General features: G+C 38.1%; 1 protein-coding gene across 10 annotated transcripts in view, besides 2 other annotated features; it reads right to left on the bottom strand.

Annotated features, from left to right (window-relative positions):
* The window catches only part of MME (membrane metalloendopeptidase), a 159,528-nt gene that overhangs the window by 41,210 nt on the left and 90,719 nt on the right, over positions 1-27,599 (bottom strand). For all 10 annotated transcript variants that reach the window (NM_001354642.2, NM_000902.5, NM_007287.4 and 7 more), the window contains exons 4-12: positions 27,365-27,526; positions 25,961-26,041; positions 25,761-25,856; positions 25,534-25,652; positions 23,709-23,774; positions 4,284-4,418; positions 2,228-2,329; positions 393-529; positions 190-283 (exon numbers count right to left, since the gene is read on the bottom strand). In NM_001354642.2, the coding sequence (NP_001341571.1) occupies positions 190-283; positions 393-529; positions 2,228-2,329; positions 4,284-4,418; positions 23,709-23,774; positions 25,534-25,652; positions 25,761-25,856; positions 25,961-26,041; positions 27,365-27,526 (992 nt within the window). The remainder of the gene's footprint in view (positions 1-189; positions 284-392; positions 530-2,227; positions 2,330-4,283; positions 4,419-23,708; positions 23,775-25,533; positions 25,653-25,760; positions 25,857-25,960; positions 26,042-27,364; positions 27,527-27,599) is intronic.
* Positions 16,794-17,549: an enhancer, noted in NCBI's record as "OCT4-NANOG-H3K27ac-H3K4me1 hESC enhancer chr3:154842760-154843515 (GRCh37/hg19 assembly coordinates)". NCBI's record gives its function as "activates a minimal SCP1, AML or CMV promoter by ChIP-STARR-seq in primed H9 embryonic stem cells {active_cell/tissue: H9 hESC(primed)}" and the evidence as "EXISTENCE:reporter gene assay evidence [ECO:0000049][PMID:30033119]".
* Positions 17,550-18,306: an enhancer, noted in NCBI's record as "OCT4-NANOG-H3K27ac-H3K4me1 hESC enhancer chr3:154842003-154842759 (GRCh37/hg19 assembly coordinates)". NCBI's record gives its function as "activates a minimal SCP1, AML or CMV promoter by ChIP-STARR-seq in primed H9 embryonic stem cells {active_cell/tissue: H9 hESC(primed)}" and the evidence as "EXISTENCE:reporter gene assay evidence [ECO:0000049][PMID:30033119]".

The following is a 27,599-nucleotide window of genomic DNA, read 5'->3' as shown; positions in this document are numbered from 1 at the left end:
ATAAGATGGTAAAGCCCATGAAGATTTATCTTCCTCAGCAACATGTCCTAAATATGTGCAAGATAACGAACTTTGGCATTTTGTCCCTTTGCAAAGTTCACCATGTCCTAGCAGTGTACATGGTAAGCCTTCATAACCATGTATCACTTTATGCTTTAAGTCTTAAGAAAAGAGAGATTTTTTCTTCACCTTGCGGAAAGCATTTCTGGACTCCTTGTAGGTTCGGCTGAGGCTGCTTACAAGATCCATTATGAATCTCCAGGACATTAAATTTTGAAGATCTCTGTATAAAAAAAACCACCGCCCAGCAACAGAAAAGATGAGGCTGCAAAGCTTCTGAAGAGTGATATGAAATGCAAACTTTGAGGACATGGGGACTGTGACATACCTACCTGGCAGAATATTTGGTAAGAATGGGCTTAAGTTTGGTTAAATATTCTGGAGCATAAACAACCACATCTTCCTCATTTGTAATACTAATATTCACAGTTGACATGATTTCATTTGTGAAATTCAACCAGCTGAATGGCTGGAAAAAAGCAGGCATGAAACATTCAGAAATTGTGGATTTCTCTTCTTGGGTCCAAGATTCAGTTATAGTTAGAGGGTTGGATCAGTTTGATATTCACTTGGGATTCTTCCTCAATTGTTTCAATCAGTTTTTAAATAAAAACTAGTTCTGCAACATGATTATTTACCTAGCATAATTAAGCCAACCATTTAAGAGCGAAAACAAAGCCTTTAAGCTTAAGGAACATATACCTAGAAATTAGGCTTAATGTCATCTTCTTTGTCTAACCAATACAGAAAATAAAAATATAATTTAAATTTAAATTTAAAAATAAAGCTTTTTTGGTTTATGCAAAAATGGAAATGTGTGTAAAGTGTTTAGCTTTTAAAAGTGGGTATTAATAAACAATTCATTCAAACACAGTAACACATCTCAGTGGAAATCCTATTATAGATGAAAATATACTGTTATAGCAGTGGTACAGTGATGTTATGAAGTCAAAGAAAACAGCATCTTTTCAATTATCGATATTGGGTCTACAGGCATGCCATGTTTATACTTCAGAAGCTAAGTACGGAGTTGCCAAAAGATGAAATCTTGTCTTTCTAAATGGGAATTGATAATGTTTAAGACTATCAATATCTTAGGTTGTATTTTACACACACAGACACAAGCACACATCACTTACTGAGTATAGGGTGCTATGCTATACAATTTTCTTCATTTCCTTTGGTGGTTTAGGTCATTCTTTCAAAACGTATTTATTAAACACTTATTATATTAAAAAATTCTATGTAAGATGTCTAACTCAATAGTTTATGCCTTTGGAAAAGTCCTTGTTAACTAGAATTAGTGCCAAAGAGAATGTCATCGCTGAATGTGGTAGTTTGTAGGTTTTCCCATGGATATTGCTTCATCTCTTGGCTGTGTGCATCAACTAATACACGAGAATAAATGCATAGCCACAAAAAGAGATTATTGGATACTAGGTAAGGAAAAAGAAGTCAACTGCTGTTTATAAATGGAATCTATGAGAGAGCTTTTCTTTTTATTTGTGTCCTATTTCTGAATTATTGTTCTGAACACCTCTGTAGATGGCCTTGATGAGAACACGGGAAGTTCTATGAATAAATTATCCTTTTTTGGAGTTAAAAGGAAATCTAGTGCTTTTATTGTGTGACTGTCCAAGTCTGATGACTACATAATGGCCTCTCAGAAAGATTTTCAGTTTTAGTATTTTTCAAACCCCTTCCTATGGGAGTTTCTAGTATTATTGTATAGCTGCCTTAAAAGGAATTTTACCAGCTAAGAGTGGTGGCTCACACCTGTGGCTAACACTTTGGGAGGCTGTGGCCGGCAGATCACTCGAGCTCAGGGGTTCGAGACCAGATTGGCCAAACCTCATCTCTACTAAAAATACAAGAATTAGCCAGGTGTGGTGGTGCATGCCTGTAGTCCCAGCTACTTGGGAGGCTGAGGCAGGAGAATCGCTTGAGCCTGGGAGGTGGACGTTACAGTGAGCCAAGATTGTGTCACTGTACTCCAGCCTGGGCAACAGAGTGAGACCCTGTCTCAAAAAAAAAAAAAAAAAAAAAAAAGGAATTGAAGTCCCATTTACTTCAATAAATAAAAACTTGACGAATTTTAGAAAGAGTATTTCAATGTTATAATTTAGAAAACGGCACAATAAGAGAGCACAAAAAACTTACCACTTACCTTCCCATTGATCTCTAGTGAAAAGTTATTTTGGATCTGGGCCAATGTCATCTTGTTATACAGAAGCATTGGATCATTTCGATCTTCAGGTTTAGCCGTAGCCTATGGATTTAATTTTTAATCATTATTTTAGAATTAAGAATTCTTTAGAAAAATATAACTACATATGAGGGTAAAAATATAGGATAGGTACAACATAATTTAAGTCCTATTCTGTACTTGTTTTTGTAATTTGTTTTGTCATTTCAAAAAAAGTGAAATGTAAGAGATTTTTGGAGTAGAAGTAGTAAGAATTATTGAGATTTGGCTGTGGGGTCAAGTTTAAAATTTTTAAAAAATCTGTCTATATTTTGACAACTGCCAAGCCATATAAGCAATATTTATGAGCTATGGCTAATGGCCAGTTCAGTTGTGTCTGTGAATGTTTCATATTTTAACTTTCTTTGATATAGTCATCTCCAATTTCTCTCTTAAATACTCTCTCTCCCATCTTCACCATTACCATTCGGTGTCCTAGTTAAAATTCAGCAAGGAAAAAAAGGTGCAAGAGTTTCTATAAGAATTTATCGCAAGTAACAGAGAAACTTCCTAGTACAGAGCACAATTTGGTTGCAAGTTATCTGAGAATGGCAACATCATGGACCTTTGTGACTGTTCTCCTATCCTGCCAGACCAGCAGCATCCAATTTTATTTCTTTCACTGAATTAAAAAGAAAAATTGCAATAACAACTCCCCAACTAGTGGCTGAAATGAGTAAAAGCAATTTTAAGTGAGAAGAGACAAAAGGTAAAGGTTTAAAATTGGAATTATTTCTCAGTGACAATGGCTCCAGTTTCCCCTTTAGGTCACTTACCTATTCATTTACTGAAAACAATTATTTATTGAGCATGTCCTTTGTGCAATACTATGCTGGATTTTGTTAGAGATGCATAAATGATTCAAAGACGTCTAAGGCCTCATGCCAATCTAATACAAGAATCTAATACAAGAGTGAGAATATAGACACATAATGCTGAGGTAAGACACAACACTACAGAGCTGATGCTGGTCAAAGGAGCGCATGGTCTGGGAAGGTGCAAGTGGCAAAAACCCAGAGCAGGAAACATTTCTCCTCTAGCAAGTCTGTTTCCAACACAGAACCACATGTAACCCATTCAAATGCCATTCATTCAGTGGCAGCTCCAAGAACACCCTGGTTCTGATAGGAGATTTTTGGTTTCACGTAGCCCCAGGAAAGCTAAAATTGCCCTCCATGATCTTAACTCTTCAAGATTCTGATGAGCTTAGATGGCAGGGGCAAGCAGATAGGGAGTCAGGGATGCAGGTTGTCGTTTGCAATGACAAAGAGAACTCTGTGGGTCCTAGACTGACTCTGACGATGGGTTTAATCAGTAACCTGGATGCTGCTTAGACTCAGAGTTCACTCACTTGAGACTGCAGTGCCCTATCAAAGAATCATCAGGGAAGAAAGTGCCAACTCAGACTCCAAGGGTTGATCTAGAGCCAGAAGAAATTCAGGAATACACTCCTTGGGCTTTGTTGCAAAATTATTGTCTTACCCTCCGTCAGCTCAGCAGCCTGACAATTTGAACTCAGTAGTATCACATTGCCACATGGCTATGTTCAGGGGTTAATACTTCTTAGCAAAGAAATAGAGACAATCTCTGTGATCACTTTAAACTTTAAAATAAAGTAATATTCTATACATATCAAAACTAAAACAGCTTTGCATTTGCTCTGAGTCTGAAGGGCATCTAACAACAGTTTGACTGTAAATGGTAGAATTCTGATGGAATCCACTTATAAAAGGCAATTAAGTGTTTCTAGTTTAATATTTGTCCAATTTAGTGTGTCTTTTAAATGTCAGGAACCCAGTTTACTATAAAATTCTTTAGTTTCAAAGGTCCTTTTGAAGTCAATGATCTATTACCAAGCCATGCATTTTTACTACTTGGTTAAAGTGCTGTACCTTTTACTCTTAAAGTATGATAGAGAGGGGAAAGAAAAAAAGCGGTTGACATTATTCAGTGTATCAGAAAAAAAAATGTGTTTTACATTGGCAATTTCTTTTTCCAATTCCATAACTTTATTCATTTCCAAAGCAAGCTGGTTTTCATCGATGGGCAATCTTTCTTCCTGACGAATCAATCTGGCCACAGAAATCATAAAATCCACATATGCTGTACAAGCCTGCAAGAAAAAAATAGCACTAAACTGTTGGAGTAGCTCTAAATATTCATCATGGTACTTAAAATTTATTTTCATTTCAATATTAATTTTTGGTAATAGATAACCTTAGTAAAATAAAAATCCTTTTCTAAGTATTTAAAGAAATGACCTGCACAGATTCTTAGACAGTCAATATATCTTTGAATAAGAGCTTAAAGGAGAGCAATGAGGTATCACTTTGAAAGTACTAAGTAATGTATAACCACTTGGTTATGGAGACTGTAATTTTCAATTTTCAATAAAGTTATTTTGCCTTGATTAGAATGAGTTGCAAAACACTTGATAAGCAATAACATATACTAATTTTTTCGCTGAATAATAATACATTTCTTTTTTTATTTTATTTTACTTTTCATTGAGACAGAGTCTCACACTGTCGCCTGGGCTGGAGTGCAGTGGTGCTGTCTTAGCTCACTGCAACCTACATCTCTATGGTTCAAGCAATTCTCATGCCTCAGCCTCCCAAGTAGCTGGGAGTACAGGCGCCCACCACCACACCCAGCTAATTTTTTGTATTTTCAGTAGAGACAGGATTTCACTATGTTGGCCAGGCTGGTCTGAAACTCCTGACATTGTGATCCGCCTGCCTTGGCCTCCCAAAGTGCTGGGATTACAGGCGTGAGCCACCATGCTCAGCCATAATAATACATTTCTTTACCAAATCTCTTTTTCATAGTCATTTTCTCAACTATTCATGGAAAAATGACCACAAACTCATATAATATAATCACACTTCTTTTTATCTGTCTCCTTGAGTCAAGCAGTTTCTTTTTTATGAAGCTGTGTTGTCAGGAGCTCCACCAACACACACCTGTAGGTTTTAGTTAATTCCATAAATAGCTCCTGTTACTGTAAAATTTCACTATACGATACCATAGATTTAGATATTAGTTTTCTTCTGATAACTCAAATTATTTATATTTTATCTTCACATACATCTTAATTTGCAAAAGTAAACTATAGAATAGTTGTATTACTAACCTTTTACAGAATATATAAATGCCTCATTCAAGTTCACAGTGGCAAGAACACTAGGAAATGGAGTCCCACTTTTGTTAGGTTTGAACCAATTGCTATTTATTAGCCATTATTACCTATTAGCAATTAAAATACATTACGATTCCACCTCATTTTAAAATTTAGTAAAGCAGTCAATTGTGATTATGGATAGGTGAGATTTCTATGCTTCAAAGACTTGTTTGCAGGGTAAATACAAAGAAAGGCTATAAAGTGTGCTATAATGTGCTTTAACATTTTCACAGTTTTAAGAATATTTTACATCCTTATGGAACAATTAGAAGTGGAAGGAACATCCATATATTCACTGTGAGTGCAAAGGTGCATCTGAATTTACAGTGATCCATTAATCAAACCTAAAACTAATAGGAAAATAGAAATATTCGATCAAGCAAGAACTTAAGAAAAATGTACAAAATTATTATCAATTTGTAAGTCCAGAGGTTTATATACTGGTATTCTATGACTTTTACTAAATGCTAAGTAAACAGTTCTTTTCATGGATACTCTGTAATGCTGTGACTATCTAGCTGTGATTGCTATCCATGGATTTGCTACTCAATAGAACAATTTTTCATCTGTGAATCTGCATTAAGATCCTAATCAATTTCACCACATCAACAGAATTAAAAACAAATACCATTGGGCTATCTCAATAGATGTGGGAAAAGTCTCAATAAAACCCAATGTCCTTTCATAATAAAAACCCTTAGTAAACTAGGCATTGCAGAAACATACCTCAAAATAATAAGAACTATCCATAACAAACCCACAGCCAACATCATACTGGATAGGCAAAATGTGGAAGCATTCCCCTTGAGAACAGAAACACGACAAAGACGTCCATTCTCCCCACTCCTATTCAGCACAGTACTGGAAGTCCTACCTAGATCAATCAATCAGGCAAAAGAACGAAAGAGAAGGCATCCAAATAGGAAAAGAAGTCAAACTCTCTCTTTTCACTAATGATATGATTCTATACCTAGAAAATCCTGAAGACTCTGCCAAAGGGCTCCTGGAACTCATAAACAACTTCACAAAAATTTCAGGATACAAAATCCATGAATAAAAATTGGTGGCATATCTATTTACCAATAATGTTCAAGCTGAGAGCCAAATCAAGAACACAATCTCATTTGCAATAGGCACACACACATACACATTACATAAATATCTAAGAGTATATCTGACTAAGGAGATGAAATATTTCTACAAGGAGAACTACAAAACATTGCTGAAAGAAATCATAGAGGAAGCAAACAAACAAAAATATTTCATGCTTATGGACTGGAAGAATCAGTATCATCAAATGGCCATACTGCCCAAAGTAATATACAGATTCAACACTCTTTTTATCAAACTACCAATGTCATTTTTCACAGAATTAGAAAAAACAATTCTAAAATTCATATAAAACCAAAAAAGAGCCCAAATGGCCAAAGTAATCCTAAGCAACAAGAACAAGACTGGAGGCATCACATTACCTGACTTCAAATTATACTATAATGCTGCAGTAGTCAAAACAGCATGGTCTGGGTACACAAATAGACACACAGACCAATGGAACAGGATAGAGAACACAGAAGTAAAGCAGCACACCTACAGCCATCTGATCTGTGACAAAGTTGACAAAAATAAGCAACAGGGAAAGGACTCCCTATTCAAAAATGGTGCTAGGGTAACTGGCTAGTCATATGCAGAAGAATAAAATGGGACCCCTAACTTTCATCATACACAAAAATTACCTCAAGATGGATTAAAGATTTAAATGTAAGACTTCAAACTCTAAGTGTCCTAGAACAAAATAGGAAATACCTTTCTGGATGCCAGCCTTGGGAAAGAGTTTATCACTAAGTCCTCAAAAGGAATTGCAACAAAAACAAATATTGACAAGTGGGACCTAATTAAATTAAATAGCTTCTGCCACAGCAAAAGAAACTATGAACATAGTAAACAGACAACCTACAGAATGGGAGAAAACATTCCCAAACTAGGCATCCAAGAAAAGTCTAATATCCAGAATCTACAAGAAACTTAAACAATTCAACAAGCAAAAAACAAATAGCCCCATTAAAAAGTAGGAAAAGACAGGAACAGACACTTCTCAAAAGAAAACATACAAGTGGTCAACAAATGTACGAGACAACATTAAACATAGCTAATCATCAGAGATATATAAATCTAAACCACGATGAAATACCATCTCACACCAGTTGGAATGGCTATTATCAAAAGTCAAAAATGAACAGATGCTGGTGAGGCTACAGAGAAAAGGGAACACTTATACACTGTGGTGAAAATGCAAACTAGTTTAGCCTCTACAGAAAGCAGTTTGGAGATTTCTCAAAGAACTTAAAATAGAACTACCATTTGACCCAGAAATCTCATTATTGGATATATACCCAAAAGAAAATAAGTCATTCTACCAAAGACTTATGCACTCATTTGTTAATCACAGCACTACTCACAATAGCAAAAACGTAGAATCAACCTAGAGAATCATCAATGGTAGACTGGATAAAGAAAATGTGGTACATATACACCCTGGAATACTATGCAGCCATAAAAAAGAATGAAATCATGTCCTTTGCAGCAACATGGATGCAGCTGGAGGTCATTATCCTAAGTGAATTAATGCAGGAAGAGAAAACCAAATACCACATGTTCTCATTTATAAGTAGGAGCTAAATGTTGGGCATTTAAGGACATAGAGATGGCAATAATAGATGCTGAGGATTAATAGAGGGTGGAGGGAGAGAGTGGAGCAAGGGTTGAAACACTAACTATTGGGTACTATGCTCACTACCTCAGTGATGGGGTCATTCATATTCTAAACCTCAGTACCATGCAATATATCCATGTAACAAAACTACACATGTACCCCCTGAATCTAAAATAAAACTTGAAATTATATTTTTAAAAAACTCTAATCACTAAAGTAACAGAAATGAAAAGACAATTTTACGTATATTCTCAGCAACTCAATTTTTTTCTATTTAAGGTAATCAGAATTTTTGTTTCACTTTGAAGTAAACGAGTATGTCTGAGTTCATACCTCATGGGACCAACTATTCCAAAGTACAAGCATGCAGTGTTTTGAATTAACTGTATTCCCAAAGCATATAAATCAATCGACCTTTAGCAGGGTATTACTACTGACTATAAACAAAATGGTAGTTCGAATTTTCCAATATCAATCTACTGAGATATATCTCAGTAGATTGATATTGGAAAATTGATATTGGAAAATATATATATACCATATATATATACACACCATATATATACACATATATATATACACCATATATATGTATATATACACACCATATATATACACACACTATATATGTATGGTATATATATATATATATATATATATGGTGTGTGTATATATATGGTGTGTATATATACATATATATGGTGTATATACATATATATATATGGGATGCTTTTTGTTGATGAGGTGAGAAAACAATAACAGTAATCATCTTGGGCACTTTGTTGACTCAGCAAACTGATTCTGCTCCAGTCTCTTTATCCTTACCGATGTATTTAAAGACTATAGAACTTTGATATAAGGCAAGCACAAGAACTTTGGATGATGCTTCTAGTCTGCTAAACTGGTCAAGTTTCTCAGAAAACTGGAAGCATATAGTATCACTAGCTTCTGGGATGCTCGAGTATTTAATATAGCTACATGGAATATACCACTTCTTTTAATGAATTCCATTACCTGGTAACTACTCCAATGTAACTGATTAAAACATATGTCTTAGTATCATGACTATCTTTCCTGACTTCCAAATTTATCTGGTGTCAGAACTTAAGGTTACTGCCGTGCTAAATCCATTGTACGAGATGTGATTCTACCTTAAGGTTTTAATTTTCTTTATTATGATACTTCCAGATATGGAAAATGTGAAATGATGATAATTGTCATGATTTGGGAAGAAACTTTATACATATATATATATATATATTTTTTTTTTTTTTTTTTTTTTTTAGACGGGGTTTGCTCTTGTTGCCCAGGGTGGAGTGCAATGGTGCAATCTCGGCTCACTGCAACCTCCGCGTCCTGGGTTCAAGTGATTCTCCTGCCTTAGCTGGGATTATAGGCATGTGCCACCATGCCCGGCTAATTTTTTGTATTTAGTAGAGACGGGGTTTCACTACGTTGGTCAGGCTGGTCTTGAACTCCTGACCCCAGGTGATCCACCACCTCTGAGTCCCAAAGTGCTGGGAATACAAGCATGAGCCACCACGTCAGGCAAATCAACATGTATTTTAACACTTAAAAAGTAGATTGGCCAGGATACTTTTTAAACCCAAATTTAATTTTGTGTGTGTGTGACTGAGAGAGCAATTAGTTATTACAACAGAGGCCAGAGTCAGCTCTCATTTTTGACAGTCATAAGGTAGATTTCTTGAAGCTCTGAGATAGCAAATCAATGATTGTTTACGTGAAGAAGAATCCACCAAAACATTTATGTAGCTTTTCTTAAAAAAAAAATTGTAAGTCCTAGTACTCGTAACAGTAGTTTCAAAGGTGATCATCGGTTTTAAACAGTTAGATAAAATCCATATAATAGCAGTTTTGTGGGTTTTAAAATCACACACTACCAATGAGATGATATTTACTAACACCCAACACCATGGATAGTTACTCTAGTTAGGACTATCTTCATTTTGCAGAATCAGGTAATGATATTTATAAATTGGCTCTTTAGAAATGAGGCTCTTCCTGCCTGGAAAAAGCCTGATGTTTGTTAGATTTGCCAAAGAGGAAGAGAGCAAATGAATGCCATTTGACTACTGTCCTTCAAACTTTAATTTCATTCCTAATGAATGACAATCAAGACCCAGGGAGGAACAGAAAACTGTCCTGTCAGATTGATATCTGGGTAACCTAGCGAGCCAACTACCTATGGATCAGGGATTTTATTTCCAAAGATTCTGAGACACCTAGCTCTTACCAATGTTCTGCCTTCCCCATTCTAGGAAGAAACTCCACTTAATGTGGAGCATGAAGTGACTGAGGAGTCACAGAATTGTGTCATTCTTGGCCACTGATGTTGGGGAATATTTAATAATGCTACACAAGAAGTTTGCTGGGGGAACACAGAGGGAGACTAAGCAGGAAAGATTATTTCCTACCAAAAAAGCTTAGAAACATTTCTCAATTTAAGCAGCATGTCAGCTAGTGTGCAGTTGTTAGCAGAGAGACCTGCTTCCCTCCAACAGACTGCAAACATATAGTCACACAGCCATTTCTGGGCACTGGAAATAAAAAATAGCCCCCAGTGGAGCAGGACGCTAGAGCAGGAGGAACGTGGGACCTAAGAGGACCCAAACTTGGACCAGCATAGGGACTGTTTGGGGCTTTCATCAGGTTATCAATAAGAACCTGAAGATTTGTACAACTTCTTGCATAACTTCCAAGGTTTATTCCATGCTTGGGGGGCTGAATCTAGCTCTTTTTACAAACTGAGTTCAGTTGATCTCAAAAATTCTCTGTCATATTCACTAAATCTCATGTTTAAAAGCCCCCTTTTGTTTTCTTAAACACAGATTACTGAACTGAGTGAAACCTTCTGACTATTAGTCACTTGGTACCCAGAAAGGACAAAGTGAGGTCAGCAGTTTCCCTTGCAGGGCCTGTCTTATCATGTCATAGCTGTGTTATGCAGTGAGACAAGCTCCGCCACGTATCACTGAGGCACATATTGGCCGAGCAGTTTAAAGTACACAAACTGTTTCCCTATAATGATAGAGCCACCTACACAAGATTATCTTAGGTCTGCTCAGATTTCTCTATCTGACTTGCTGCCATCTGAGTCCATCGTTATCTTTCACATGAATTACCATGTGGCCTTCTCTGATCTTTCTGCTTCCATTAAAACACATTCTACAAACAACAGCCAGAGATGGTTTCAGCAAGCCAAATTGAATCACCCATGCCTTACCCCAGTCACTTATTATTCTATCACCTTGATTTATTTTCTTTATAACACTCACAATTTGTCTCATTTCCTTAAATTATTTACTTGGTTATTTATTGTCTATCTCTTCCCATTAGAACATGAGTTCCATGAGAACAAGGACCTTGTTTCCTTGGAATGTCTACTGCCTAGAAAAGTATCTGTCACATAGCATAAGCTCAATGAAGATCTGTTGAATTAAAAAAAAATGAAGTTAAATTGTAAATATATTAAGTTTCTCTCACTTCCTATTTCCTCGGAACTTCTATTCTTAGCTCAAGTCCTGAACAGTTTCTCTCAGCTTGTACATTGGGTAGGTGGACAAAGAAAATCCCCTCTTGTTTAATCCCAGTTCCAGCTTGCACCTGCTCATCTACAGGATAGCCAATCTCAGCTTGTGTTCTTTCCCAGGTACATATAATTTGGAGACTTCTCCTGGCTTTTCTGATCTAGGAGCACAGACTCTGGGTCATCGCTTTCTGGCTTCAGTCCATTGTGCCCATGTTCCAAGTCCTCTATCCTCATCCCTAAAATGTCTCTATTTTTATGAACCTCAGATTTTGTGAAGGCTCTACACTTCTTTATAACTCTGGCTTCTTCTCCCTAGCCATGCCCTGCAGCAGTATACCCTGTAGCTTCTACTCTCCAGTTCCTTTCCCGCCTCCTTATGCTCTCAAACTCTAGCCTGAGTGGTTTTCTTACTTTTCTTTTAGACCTGAAATGCTCTACTCAAAGAAATGTTTTGTGGATGTATAAATGCACAAGTAAAAATAAATCATAGTGGCTTTTGAAGTGTGTGTACATGTGAGGTGTTTCTGCACAGAGCCCTGTAATTGGCACACACAAAGTAGTCCTTAGAGTTGGAAACCACTAACCTCACTTATTGCTCCTTCTCAGGCAAACATCAGTACAGAGCATAAACATATCTATTATGTAATTATGCTCAAATATTTTGGATTCCTAATCTTCAGATTTCCTTATGAAGGACAACAAAGTAAGATAACAATTGCTCTTGAAAAGCTAAGAAGGTAGAGAAAGGGAAGCTTTGAGACCAATTCCAATTCACCCCCAATACAGAGTTCAGACTCTTCTGAAGGTGGGTGATTTCTTAAGAAAATTAAGGTCCTCATTTCTCTCAGTGAATCAATATAGAAGAACATTCTCACATGAGGTTGCTGGTTGGTTTCACTTACAAATTTTGTGAATGGGAATGGTTATGTTTATGGGCCATGTGTATCTTTCGTATTGTTTTCCTAGCATAGAAATTTGTACCTCTGTAAGGAATAGAATTGTCTTGAATCTCCCTACTTCTGTTCTTTGAGATAGCATTGTGTCATTAAGTAATCTCTTCAGATAATCAGAATACCTCAGAACTCAGGCTCCATCTCTTTAACAAAGATATAGCACAAGAAGCTCCTTGATGAGAACATCTTGAGAACAGTTTGTTAGGAAGAGCAGACACGGTGAATGTGGGCCCCTTTCTGAGATGATGCAACTGTTCTCTATCACTTTCCCTTTCTAGATTATAATAATAATCAAATATTACAATACAAAAATTCCATTATGAGGGTATCCAAAGCAAAAAAAAAATGACTTCTATAAAGTGAAATGATCTTCTTAGTAATTGTGGGGGCTATTTTCATAGTCGATAAGAAGTTTGGTTTTAAGATTATGGGAGATGATACCTCTGGATGACCTGGATATCCTGGAAGGAAGGATCAAAGAAGACCTGGGGAAACAGGCTGAGTTAATAATCTGATAAAGGAGACCTACGATTAGAGTACTTTTGACTGAAGAGGGAATGTGACCCTCTGTGATCCTCAGCCTCTGAGGCATATCTGCAGAAGGTAGACCCCACACTAAAGTTTTAAAATTATAGGCTAAAGCGACGGGCAAGGAAGCCAGACCTCTCTGGTCTAAGACCATCTTTCTTTGACAAAAAAAGTTGGTGACCCTATGCCAATTCTCAAAACTTCTCTTGATTATTTCCAATAAAATAATGTAAACTGCAAATGTATGATACCCATTGATTGTATAAATATACCTCAGGCAAACTGAGTTTAGCAAAGAAGTAACTGGGGATTGAAAAGAGAAAAGAGAACACAGAGTTTGTAAAATGCTAAAGAAATGTATGCTATTAGCTATTGATGCCCTAGAGCTCATGTTTCCCGGAATCAAGGGAAGGAAACAAGGAGGGCTTCCAAAAGATTGGGTTCTTCTTTCTTTTGTTTCCTCTCTTCCCTGCTATCTTCCCCCTCAATCATTCATTTGCTGATTCTGTAGTATTTAAGGGCCAGAAACTTTGGTAGGTATTAGAAAAAGAGCAAAGGGCAATGAGACACAGCATTGCTTCCACTTCATTTACAGTTTTATAGAAAAAAAAAGACATTAAATAAGAAGTATACAGAAACCTGGGTGCTAGGAAAACTATATTAGAGGAAAGAGTGTAGGCAGGTGGTGTGTGTGGGGGGCAAGTTCTAGGCAAAGGGAAAAGCATATATAAAAGCCTATAAGGGAGAAAATCATTGAAGGCCAATGATACACTGACATTAACATTCCTTCCAGATTTATAACTCCTCTACTGAAGGTAAACTTGTTATTCTACACTTCGCACCATTTTTTGTTCATGAAGCAATAAGACACAAGACAGAAATACTTAAGGTGGTTGACATCTTTCAAAGATAGCAGAGTAGTGGAAAAACTAGAATTTTGCCAGAAATGCAGGGGAAACTGAGGGATTGCAGGTGGTAGGGATTAGGAGAGAGTAGAAAATATCATGGGAAAAATAAGGGTAACATTGGAATTCTTACTGTAACTACACACGCTCTCACCCCCATGCCCAAAAGAATGGATTTAAAAAAAGGGAGAGGGTGCAGAAATATTCAGATAATTACCCATTTCTGGGATGACATGTAACTTTTATTTTTATGCAACTCCCTTCCACTGAAAGGAGATTGCTTACAGCTTGAAGCACTACCTTAAGAAGAATTCTGAGATCTCAGGTTAGCAGGAAAGAAGGATGTCACCAAAAGTACATAGTTATGGAAGAGGAGCAAGGCAGCAAGCATGCTGCGTGTTTGCTAGTCTGATTCAGATCGTTGAAGAGCACCTAATTAAGCTGAGAATAACTTCCGGGCTGTAAGTGCCAGTGCAGGTTAGTTTCTTCTATCATTTGCTCATTCAAAGAACTCTACTAGTATGAAGTACCAACTCTTAAGAAATTGTAATAATGTAGTAGAATGAAGAAGAGAGAAGGACCAAAGTTTGCCACTATACTACTGTTCTGCTGAGTGTTGACAGCAAACTTCTGAGACTCAGATTTCTCACTCATAAACTCTATAAACATATTACTGATTCTAGATTTGATCACCACTGTGTTATTTGATCACAAATACAGTATTCCCTAGATCAGTGGATGTAAACTGTGGCAGAGTATGCTAAATGACATTGGTATATGTACTCCTCATCTTTTAAATGATACGACCTTCCTCTCTGCCAACCAAGTTTTAACAAGACACAGACATGGCCACTGCTCAAGACTACATTTTCCTGCCTCCTTTATATTTAGTTGTGGCCACATGACAATGTTTTAAGCAACGGAATGTATGCAAGTTCTGCGCCATTTACATAAAGGTTAACTATTTGTCTACCACTTTCTCTCTTTTCTTCTTCCTGTGGCCTGACATGTGAATAGGGCACTGGTGAACCAACTTTGACCAAATAGACTAAGAAAAACACCAGAGGAGGTTGATGTTAGAGCAAAAAATCAAAGAAAGCCGGCTCCCAGACATTCCCATGGAGCAGAGCTTCCTGCCTCATCTGGATGGCCTGCCTACTTCCAGACTGGCATGACAGACAGAAGTAAACTTTTTCTTGTTTGAGCTACTGTATTTGTGTTTTTACTGCTGTGGCTTAGCCAAGACCAGACTAATATGCAAAATCAAGTGCCTACAGGAGCCGATAAGTCAATATAAATCGATGAATCATGTTGATGAGGACTGTTCAAAACTGTTCAAACCTGGAGAACAAATGCCCTTTCTTTTTTTTTTTTTTTTTTGAGATGGAGTTTCGCTCTTGTTGCCCAGGCTGGAGTCCAATGGCACGATCTTGGCTCACTGCAACCTTTATCTCCTGGGTTCAAGCGATTCTCCTGCCTCAGCCTCCCAAGTTCCCAAGTAGCTGGGATTACAGGCATGCAGAACCACGCCCGGCTAATTTTGTATTTTTAGTAGAGATGGGGTTTCTCCATGGTGGTCAGGCTGGTCTCGATCTCCCGACCTCAGGTGATCCACCCGCCTTGGCCTCCCAAAGTGCAGAGATTACAGGCATGAGCCACTGCGCCCAGCCAATAAATGCCCTTTCTAAAAGGAGCAACCACAACACCACTCTGGTCAATTGCTGCCATATAAGAATGCAAGCTAGGGGCTCAAATTCTACTGACTTACTAAGAAATCTGGATTCTCAAATGAAATCTTTCAATTTTGAAAAATATTGACAACTAATTCAAAATTTAAAAAAAAACACTACAGGTTAAACAAAAATGCTTCTATATCAGATTCAAGCCAAAGACTGCCAGTTTGTGACCTGTTTGAGATTATGGGATAGCATTGAGTATAAAATGCAAAAATGCAACATCTTAACAATGAAAAAAAAAAAGCTTTTACTGCCTTAAATATATACATCGACTGCCAGGTATACCTTGATATCAGAATTAAAATGTAAAAAAAATATGTATCATAGGATTTGAAAAATTTGATATAAGAACACAATCCTAAATATGAAAAGCATCCCAGTTCATGGTGATAAAAATGTACAATAGTGAACCAAAATTCCTCAATCACTTTCAAATCTGTAACAGAAAGCAGCTGCATTGCTCTTAAAGCCAGTAGCTGTACCCCACACAGCAACTAGATTGTACTGAACTCAAATATCCCATACCCATGTATTTATCTGTGCTATTAATTGTGGCCTTTGATGATATATCTTTTTCTTCATTTCAGTGTTGTGTAGTCATTCAAAAAGATACCTTACAGTGAATTCATTCCATGTTATTCGAACTTCATAATTTGGCAAAATAAATGCCAATCATAAACATATTTAGCTAGTAATTTTAACTAAAATGTAATTTTAGTCACATCACTACACTGTGAGCCATTAGGATCATCAAAGATAACTTACTTTTGAGCTACAAAATAATTATAAGACAAACCTTTGTAGAACCAACACCTTTCCCCAATATCTAATAACGTGTAAGATTATTAGTTTTGTCTCCTGCTGTTCCTTACTTTCTGTAAGAAAAGCACATGGGCCAGGTGTGGTGGCTCACATCTGTAATCCCAGCACTTTAGGGGGCCGAGGCAGGTGGACCACAAAGTCAGGAGTTCGAGACCACACTGGCCAAAATGGTGAAACCCCGTCTCTACTAAAAATACAAAAATTAGCTGGGCGCGGTGGCGGGCACCTGTAATCCCAGGTACTCAGGAGGCCGAGGCTGGGAGAATTGCTTGAACCAGGGAGGCGGAGGTTGCAGTGACCCAAGATTGCGCCACTGCACTCTAGCCTGGGTGACAGGACAGAGCAAGACTCTGTCTCAAAAAAAAAAAAAAAAAAAAAAAAAAAAGGAGGAGGAGCCAAGTTGGCCGAATAGGAACAGCTCCAGTCTACAGCTCCCAGCGTGAGCAACGCAGAAGATGGGTGATTTCCGCATTTCCATCTGAGGTACCGGGTTCATCTCACTAGGGAGTCCCAGACAGTGGGCGCAGGCCAGTGGGTGCACGCACCGTGCGTGAGCCGAAGCAGGGCGAGGCATTGCCTCACCTGGGAAGCGCAAGGGGTCAGGGAGTTCCCTTTCCAAGTCAAAGAAAGGGGTGACGGACGCACCTGGAAAATCGGGTCACTCCCACCCGAATATTGCGCTTTTCAGACCGGCTTAAAAACGGCGCACCACGAGACTATATCCCACACCTGGCTCGGAGGGTCCTACGCCCACGGAATCTCGCTGATTGCTAGCACAGCAGTCTGAGATCAAACTGCAAGGCGGCAGCGAGGCTGGGGGAGGGGCGCCTGCCATTGCCCAGGCTTGCTTAGGTAAACAAAGCAGCCCGGAAGCTCGAACTGGGTGGAGTCCACCACAGCTCAAGGAGGCCTGCCTGCCACTATAGGCTCCACCTCTGGGGGCAGGGCACAGACAAACAAAAAGACAGCAGTAACCTCTGCAGACTTAAATGTCCCTGTCTGACAGCTTTGAAGAGAGCAGTGGTTCTCCCAGCACACAGCTGGAGATCTGAGAACCGGCAGACTGCCTCCTCAAGTGGGTCCCTGACCCCTGACCCCCGAGCAGCCTAACTGGGAGGCACCCCCCAGCAGGGGCACACTGACACCTCACACGGCAGGGTATTCCAACAGACCTGCAGCTGAGGGTCCTGTCTGTTAGAAGGAAAACTAACAAACAGAAAGGACATCCACACCAAAAACCCATCTGTACATCATCATCATCAAAGACCAAAAGTAGATAAAAGCACAAAGATGGGGAAAAAACAGAACAGAAAAACTGGAAACTCTAAAACGCAGAGCGTCTCTCCTCCTCCAAAGGAACGCAGTTCCTCACCAGCAACGGAACAAAGCTGGATGGAGAATGACTTTGACGAGCTGAGAGAAGAAGGCTTCAGACGATCAAATTACTCTGAGCTACAGGAGGACATTCAAACCAAAGGCAAAGAAGTTGAAAACTTTCAAAAAAATTTAGAAGAATGTATAACTAGAATAACCAATACAGAGAAGTGCTTAAAGGAGCTGATGGAGCTGAAAACCAAGGCTTGAGAACTACGTGAAGAATGCAGAAGCCTCAGGAGCTGATGCGATCAACTGGAAGAAAGGGTATCAGCAATGGAAGATGAAATGAATGAAATGAAGCGAGAAGGGAAGTTTAGAGAAAAACGAATAAAAAGAAATGAGCAAAGCCTCCAAGAAATATGGGACTATGTGAAAACACCAAATCTACGTCTGATTGGTATACCTGAAAGTGATGGGGAGAATGGAACCAAGTTGGAAAACACTCTGCAGGATATTATCCAGGAGAACTTCCCCAATCTAGCAAGGCAGGCCAACGTTCAGATTCAGGAAATACAGAGAACGCCACAAAGATACTCCTCGAGAAGAGCAACTCCAAGACACATAATTGTCAGATTCACCAAAGTTGAAATGAAGGAAAAAATGTTAAGGGCAGCTAGAGAGAAAGGTCGGGTTACCCTCAAAGGGAAGCCCATCAGACTAACAACGGATCTCTCGGCAGAAACCCTACAAGCCAGAAGAGAGTGGGGGCCAGTATTCAACATTCTTAAAGAAAAGAATTTTCAACCCAGAATTTCATATCCAGCCAAACTAAGCTTCATAAGTGAAGGAGAAATAAAATACTTTACAGACAAGCAAATGCTGAGAGATTTTGTCACCACCAGGCCTGCCCTAAAAGAGCTCCTGAAGGAAGTGCTAAACATGGAAAGGAACAACCGGTACCAGCCGCTGCAAAATCATGCCAAAATGTAAAGACCATCGAGACTAGGAAGAAACTGCATCAACTAACGAGCAAAATCACCAGCTAACATCATAATGACAGGATCAAATTCACACATAACAATATTAACTTTAAATGTAAATGGACTAAATGCTCCAATTAAAAGACACAGACTGGCAAATTGGATAAACAGTCAAGACCCATCAGTGTGCTGTATTCAGGAAACCCATCTCACATGCAGAGACACACATAGGCTCAAAATAAAAGGATGGAGGAAGATCTACCAAGCAAATGGAAAACAAAAAAAGGCAGGGGTTGCAATCCTAGTCTCTGATAAAACAGACTTTAAACCAACAAAGATCAAAAGAGACAAAGAAGGCCATTACATAATGGTAAAGGGATCAATTCAACAAGAAGAGCTAACTATCCTAAATATATATGCACCCAATACAGGAGCACCCAGATTCATAAAGCAAGTCCTGAGTGACCTACAAAGAGACTTAGACTCCCACGCATTAATAATGGGAGACTTTAACACCCCACTGTCAACATTAGACACATCAACGAGACAGAAAGTCAACAAGGATACCCAGGAATTGAACTCAGCTCTGCACCAAGCGGACCTAATAGACATCTACAGAACTCTCCACCCCAAATCAACAGAATATACATTTTTTTCAGCACCACACCACACCTATTCCAAAATTGACCACATAGTTGGAAGTAAAGCTCTCCTCAGCAAATGTAAAAGAACAGAAATTATAAAAAACTATCTCTCAGACCACAGTGCAATCAAACTAGAACTCAGGATTAAGAATCTCACTCAAAGCCGCTCAACTACATGGAAACTGAACAACCTGCTCCTGAATGACTACTGGGTACATAACGAAATGAAGGCAGAAATAAAGATGTTCTTTGAAACCAACGAGAACAAAGACACAACATACCAGAATCTCTGGGATGCATTCAAAGCAGTGTGTAGAGGGAAATTTATAGCACTAAATGCCCACAAGAGAAAGCAGGAAAGATCCAAAATTGACACCCTAACATCACAATTAAAAGAACTAGAAAAGCAAGAGCAAACACATTCAAAAGCTAGCAGAAGGCAAGAAATAACTAAAATCAGAGCAGAACTGAAGGAAATAGAGACACAAAAAACCCTTCAAAAAATTAATGAATCCAGGAGCTGGTTTTTTGAAAGGATCAACAAAATTGATAGACCGCTAGTAAGACTAATAAAGAAAAAAAGAGAGAAGAATCAAATAGACACAATAAAAAATGATAAAGGGGATATCACCACCGATCCTACAGAAATACAAACTACCATCAGAGAATACTATAAACACCTCTACGCAAATAAACTAGAAAATCTAGAAGAAATGGATAAATTCCTCGACACATACACTCTCCCAAGACTAAACCAGGAAGAAGTTGAATCTCTGAATAGACCAATAACAGGAGCTGAAATTGTGGCAATAATCAATAGTTTACCAACCAAAAAGAGTCCAGGACCAGATGGATTCACAGCCGAATTCTACCAGAGGTACAAGGAAGAACTGGTACCATTCCTTCTGAAACTATTCCAATCAATAGAAAAAGAGGGAATCCTCCCTAACTCATTTTATGAGGCCAGCATCATTCTGATACCAAAGCTGGGCAGAGACACAACCAAAAAAGAGAATTTTAGACCAATATCCTTGATGAACATTGATGCAAAAATCCTCAATAAAATACTGGCAAACCGAATCCAGCAGCACATCAAAAAGCTTATCCACCATGATCAAGTGGGCTTCATCCCTGGGATGCAAGGCTGGTTCAATATACGCAAATCAATAAATGTAATCCAGCATATAAACAGAGCCAAAGACAAAAACCACATGATTATCTCAATAGATGCAGAAAAGGCCTTTGACAAAATTCAACAACCCTTCATGCTAAAAACTCTCAAGAAATTAGGTATTGATGGGACGTATTTCAAAATAATAAGAGCTATCTATGACAAACCCACAGCCAATATCATACTGAATGGGCAAAAACTGGAAGCATTCCCTTTGAAAACTGGCACAAGACAGGGATGTCCTCTCTCACCACTCCTATTCAACATAGTGTTGGAAGTTCTGGCCAGGGCAATTAGGCAAGAGAAGGAAATAAAGGGTATCCAATTAGGAAAAGAGGAAGTCAAATTGTCCCTGTTTGCAGAAGACATGATTGTATATCTAGAAAACCCCATTGTCTCAGCCCAAAATCTCCTTAAGCTGATAAGCAACTTCAGCAAAGTCTCAGGATACAAAATCAATGTACAAAAATCACAAGCATTCTTATACACCAATAACAGACAAACAGAGAGCCAAATCATGAGTGAACTCCCATTCACAATTGCTTCAAAGAGAATAAAATACCTAGGAATCCAACTTACAAGGGATGTGAAGGACCTCTTCAAGGAGAACTACAAACCACTGCTCAAGGAAATAAAAGAGGATACAAACAAATGGAAGAACATTTCATGCTCATGGGTAGGAAGAATCAATATCGTGAAAATGGCCATACTGCCCAAGGTAATTTACAGATTCAATGCCATCCCCATCAAGCTACCAATGACTTTCTTCACAGAATTGGAAAAAACTACTTTAAAGTTCATATGGAACCAAAAAAGAGCCCGCATTGCCAAGTCAATCCTAAGCCAAAAGAACAAAGCTGGAGGCATCACACTACCTGACTTCAAACTATACTACAAGGCTACAGTAACCAAAACAGCATGGTACTGGTACCAAAACAGAGATATAGATCAATGGAACAGAACAGAGCCCTCAGAAATAATGCCGCATACCTACAACTATCTGATCTTTGACAAACCTGAGAAAAACAAGCAATGGGGAAAGGATTCCCTATTTAATAAATGGTGCTGGGAAAACTGGCTAGCCATATGTAGGAAGCTGAAACTGGATCCCTTCTTTACACCTTATACAAAAATCAATTCAAGATGGATTAAAGATTTAAACGTTAGACCTAAAACCATAAAAACCCTAGAAGAAAACCTAGGCATGACCATTCAGGACATAGGCATGGGCAAGGACTTCATGTCCAAAACACCAAAAGCAATGGCAACAAAAGCCAAAATTGACAAATGGGATCTAATTAAACTAAAGAGCTTCTGCACAGCAAAAGAAACTACCATCAGAGTGAACAGGCAACTTACAAAATGGGAGAAAATTTTCGCAACCTACTCATCTGACAAAGGGCTAATATCCAGAATCTACAATGAACTTAAACAAATTTACAAGAAAAAAACAAACAACCCCATCAAAAAGTGGGCGAAGGACATGAACAGACACTTCTCAAAAGAAGACATTTATGCAGCCAAAAAACACATGAAAAAATGCTCATCATCACTGGCCATCAGAGAAATGCAAATCAAAACCACAATGAGATACCATCTCACACCAGTTAGAATGGCAATCATTAAAAAGTCAGGAAACAACAGGTGCTGGAGAGGATGTGGAGAAATAGGAACACTTTTACACTGTTGGTGGGACTGTAAACTAGTTCATCCATTGTGGAAGTCAGTGTGGCGATTCCTCAGGGATCTAGAACTAGAAATACCATTTGACCCAGCCATCCCATTACTGGGTATATACCCAAATGACTATAAATCATGCTGCTATAAAGACACATGCACATGTATGTTTATTGCGGCATTATTCACAATAGCAAAGACTTGGAACCAACCCAAATGTCCAACAATGATAGACTGGATTAAGAAAATGTGGCACATATACACCATGGAATACTATGCAGCCATAAAAAATGATGAGTTCATGTCCTTTGTAGGGACATGGATGAAATTGGAAATCATTCTCAGTAAACTATCGCAAGAACAAAAAACCAAACACCGCATATTCTCACTCATAGGTGGGAATTGAACAATGAGATCACATGGACACAGGAAGGGGAATATCACACTCTGGGGACTGTGGTGGGGTGGGGGGAGGGGGGAGGGATAGCATTGGGAGATATACCTAATGCTAGATGACGAGTTAGTGGGTGCAGCGCACCAGCATGGCACATGTATACATATGTAACTAACCTGCACAATGTGCACATGTACCCTAAAACTTAAAGTATAATAAAAAAAAAAAAAAAAAAAGAGCACGTGAACATCAGCCCAAGGGAGGCAAGGTTGTGAGACAATAAGAAAGCACTCCAGAACATCCAAACGTCCACTATGGGATATGATGCCCACTGGCTACCTGGCCAATGTTAGAGTCACAAGGTAGCTGCAAAAGTTTGTCTGAGCCCAATGTCACTACCTGCATAGTTCTCTGACAGTCAAATCAGATGGTTCCAGAAGGATGCTGCAGAGTGTATCTCTCACTGACCCTCTGGTCCTCACCAGCACCACCCTAGACCATGATAAATCTTTTCATTTTTTAAATAATGCAGTTTACAGGTGGATTAAAATATTTTAAATTAACTTTTCAAAATCGATCATATGTTTTAAATACTAAAAACCAAGATACAAATAAGGAATTTCAAGTTTCCTAGTTTTGTAAAATACCTTCATTCATTCTATTGAGAATGTTCATTCTATCAAAGACAGCTCACTATTATGTGTGATTTTAAGTCCCTGTCATGAATGAAAAACATCAGAGGGCTAAATTTAATTTGGCTTTATCTTTTTCATTACTTGTAGGTTTACACCAGATCATTTTGTAGTTTGGTTTTGATTATTTTTTTTCTTTTTACCTCTTTATAGATTCCAGTGCATTCATAGTAATCTCTAGAAGGGAGGCCAAGTCGAGGTTGGTCAATCTATAAAAAATATACATAAAAGAAAATAAATCATTCAGTGAATATAGAAAAGTTTGAAAAATACAAGCATGTCTATCTATGTATGTGAAAGATCCTACTCTTGCTGTTTATGGGGTGACCATCAGACACTCAATAAATACCTAGTTAGGAAATGCTTTCTACACTACTTGTAAGTGTTATACTAACGGGCAGTTAGATAATCTGGAGGACTGTGCTGCAGATATTTAAGGAAAACAAAAGAAAGTGAACAAAAGATTTACTAGGAGGGATTTTTAATGCAGAGCAGAAGGTGCAAGTGAACAAAAACATGTTAGATTCTAGGACGTGGAAATTTCTAAATTACATATTCACAGATTTCTCAGCTTCCTGAGATTCTAATGTGCTCCCCTGGGAACATTCTCATCTGCTTCCACCCTTAGTTGGGATCCCCTTTCATTGGTGGGAGTGGGTTAATATTCTTCAAGTTGATTTGGATGGATGGGGAGAAGGGGAGAAGTGGAAAACCTCTAAGGTAACTCCAGAATCTTTTAGCTAATGTAACTTGTGCCAGAAAATGTTTTTTAAGATTCTCTACCCTAAGGGAATGGAGGCGACTTCTCCTTGGTTCTCCTCAAAGCTGCTCTGCTCAGAAGAACCTCAGTAGACCCAGATAGCAGTTAAGGGTGTGAAAGAGGAAACTCAGTTTTGCGCTAACGTGTCTGGTCCATGTTTAATACCCAAGTGGGAGCTATCTGGGCATACTGCAGCTTTGCAAGATTGTTTCCTACTCACTGCATGGCAACATGAGTGTGGAGGCCAAACAGAGCATTTCTGGGTTAAAGAGAGAATCCTAGCAGCTGTGGAGAGCCTAGGCCAATAGAAAAGAAAACATAACCCAAAGAACTGGTATGGAAAGAGCCAGAAGATATCTCCACATGAAGGGCCCTGATCCTTCCCCACCCCCTGGTCCTCAAGGTGATCCTGCAAGGAGAAAGTTTCAGAAGAGAGAGAGCCCACTGCAGGAGATTTGGGTTCAATTCCTTTCATGATTTTAACAAAAACGACCATAAAGATTTATGCAATAGTGACACAGATATGATTAGGTGATTCAGTAGCCTGCAATTTTTTGTATAATTTCTTACACAGGAAACCAAAAAAAAAAAAAAACAAAAAAAAAAAGGAAGAAAGAAAAACTCTTTATATTTTTCAGTACATTCCAAACATAGTCATTAATCTAGTCTTAGGTGACACCTAAATCAAATTGTTTACATTTGTAAAAATACAATAAATCCATTTTAAAAGAAAGGCATTTTATTTACCTTTAGTTGAGAAAAAAGTACAGATACTCTTTAGTGAGGAAAAAAATGATGTTTAAAATCCCTTTTCTGTGTTCTTTTTGAAAGCAATTATTATTTTTTGGTTTCTAGACCTGCATTACTTCTATAAACGAAAGCATGCTCCTTTCAAGTACTATACAAAGAAATTAGGAACTTTTTCTGAATAGGAGGGGCCTGGAGCCCTTCTTATCATTTGTTTTGTGAAGGGAGAGGTATCTAAAACAGAGGTAGCAGAAGCAAGGGGTGAATGTCGAAAACAGCATTAAGAAAATACTTTCAAAATTGGAACTCCAGGTATTAGGGACAGAGCATGGATATACTACCTCCTTGCTTATTCAATTCAATTGAAAATAGCATTATTTCTAAATATCAATAACAACAATGTATGTGGAAGTTTTATTACAATTTAAAGGTAACTTTAGTTATTTGACACACAAACTTACATGAATTACATGATTCACAGAATTCTTATCATCAGTGCCAACAAACAAATTAATAAGGACTTTTTTCCCATATTTAGAATTCAGTTGTGCAATAGCTTTTTCAGCTGTCCAAGAAGCACCTAAAGCAATAAAAGATAAAATATATCTTTAGAAGCTTTAGTTCACTAATGATATTATAACATAGATTTTACATGGAAATTTCTTTTTTAGTAGGAAAATTGCCTTACCATATTTTTGCTCCCAGTTTTCTGTTGCTACTGGCCACCCATATATGTCTGGTAACAGTTTGAGTAGAGGTTCTCCACCTCTGCTATCAATAGCAGCTTTTGGAAACAACAAACATAAATTCAATTAGAAATCTAGGCATAGTTTGGCACCAATATATATATATATATACTCCTAATGAAATCAAATGAAGAGCACTTACATTCATTTATACAAGACCTGTACAATGCTTTTGCTTTCTGCACTGCTACTATATCTTCAGTTTTGGGTTCTTGAAGGACATCTGAAATAGGACATTTAATAAAATGCATCAACATAATTGCTCATTTGCACTATGCAAACATAATTGCTCATTTGCAGTAATTAACATTTGCAAAGTGGGTTCAGTTAAAAAAAAACCTTGCTTTTCTGGAGGTACATTCATTTCCTCCCCCCAGTTCCAAAACATTATAGGAAAAACCAAACCCCTTACCAGATTATCATTCCTAGCACAGAACTGGGAGTCAGTTTAATCAGCCAATTTAGATGAAAGTCCTTTTGACTAGATTATCTTTTTTTTTTTTTTATGAACAGTGATGCATACGGCTCTGCCATAGGTAACAGTTACTTTTCTTGAAATTGAGATTAAAAAAAAACAATAACACAGAGGAATTTGGAATTTAGTATGAATAGTCTTTTTGATGGCTGGAAAATAATTATCTTTGTGTGACTGTACCGTTCATGCTCCAAATGAATGAATTGAATTGTCCTACTTGTTTCAATGTTAAAAAGTAGCAAAAATTGTTCTTCTACAAAATAACTTCTAGAAGAGGGGAGAACAGAGAACAAAGGATAGGAGGGACTTGGCTAGATTTCTTAACTTCTCAGGGAGACAGTCTTAGCCAGGTTAGAATATACCTGTGCTGGGAAGGCAAATCTTAGTAACATCTTACAGTAACTTTAACACAGGGTTTGGGTAGGGAGACTACAGAAGTAGGTTTCTGTGCCAATCATTTAATTTTTTTTCTTCTGTAAAATGGCATAAAACTACCATCTTGGCTGGGCATAGTGGCTCACACCTGTAATCCCAGCACTTTGGGAGGCCAAGGCTGGTGGATCACCTGAGGTCAGTTCAAGACCAGCTTGGCCAACATGGTGAAACCCCGTCCCTACTAAAAATACAAAAATTAGCTGGGTGTAATGGCAGGTGCCTACAATCCCAGCTACTTGGGAGGCTGAGGCAGGAGAATTGCTTAAATCTGGGAGGCAGAAGTTGCAGTGAGCCGAGATAGCACCATTGCACTCCAGCCTGGGTGACAAGAGCAAAACTCCATCTCAAAAAACAAACAAACAAACAAACAAAAAACCAAACCTGCCATCTCTAGAGATGATACCGCTTTATTATTTGCATACCTACAAATGAAAGCAGGAATGCTAAGAGATGTCAACACATTAATTTCAGTGTCTGCCACTATCAGAGTGACTTGGTGGTGGTACACAAATCCTGGAAGGATTATTAACTTTTTAATCTTCTGTGACATTCCTTGTAATGGCTAACAATTGTATATTTAAAAAATGAACATATTAAGAGAGAAATCTTTGATGCACAGACACAATCTCTACTAACCTTTCAAAACGACTTCTAGTTCATCTCTTAAAATGTCAAAGTTGCCGTAACGGGAGCTGGTCTCGGGAATGACATTACGTTTCAACCAGCCTCCGCAAGCATATTTGAAAAAGTCTGTACAAGGCTCAGTGGTGGCATCCATGTTTTGGATCAGTCGAGCAGCTGCAAGAGCAGAGAAAACACTAGATAAAATGATGGGTTTATTTCTTAAGAGGCTTAAAAGGAGAAAAAGGCT

The sequence above is a fragment of the Homo sapiens genome, chromosome 3 (genome assembly GCF_000001405.40).
Source record: "Homo sapiens chromosome 3, GRCh38.p14 Primary Assembly".
NCBI lineage: Eukaryota > Metazoa > Chordata > Mammalia > Primates > Hominidae > Homo > Homo sapiens.
This window is presented reverse-complemented; position numbering and strand designations above follow the sequence as displayed.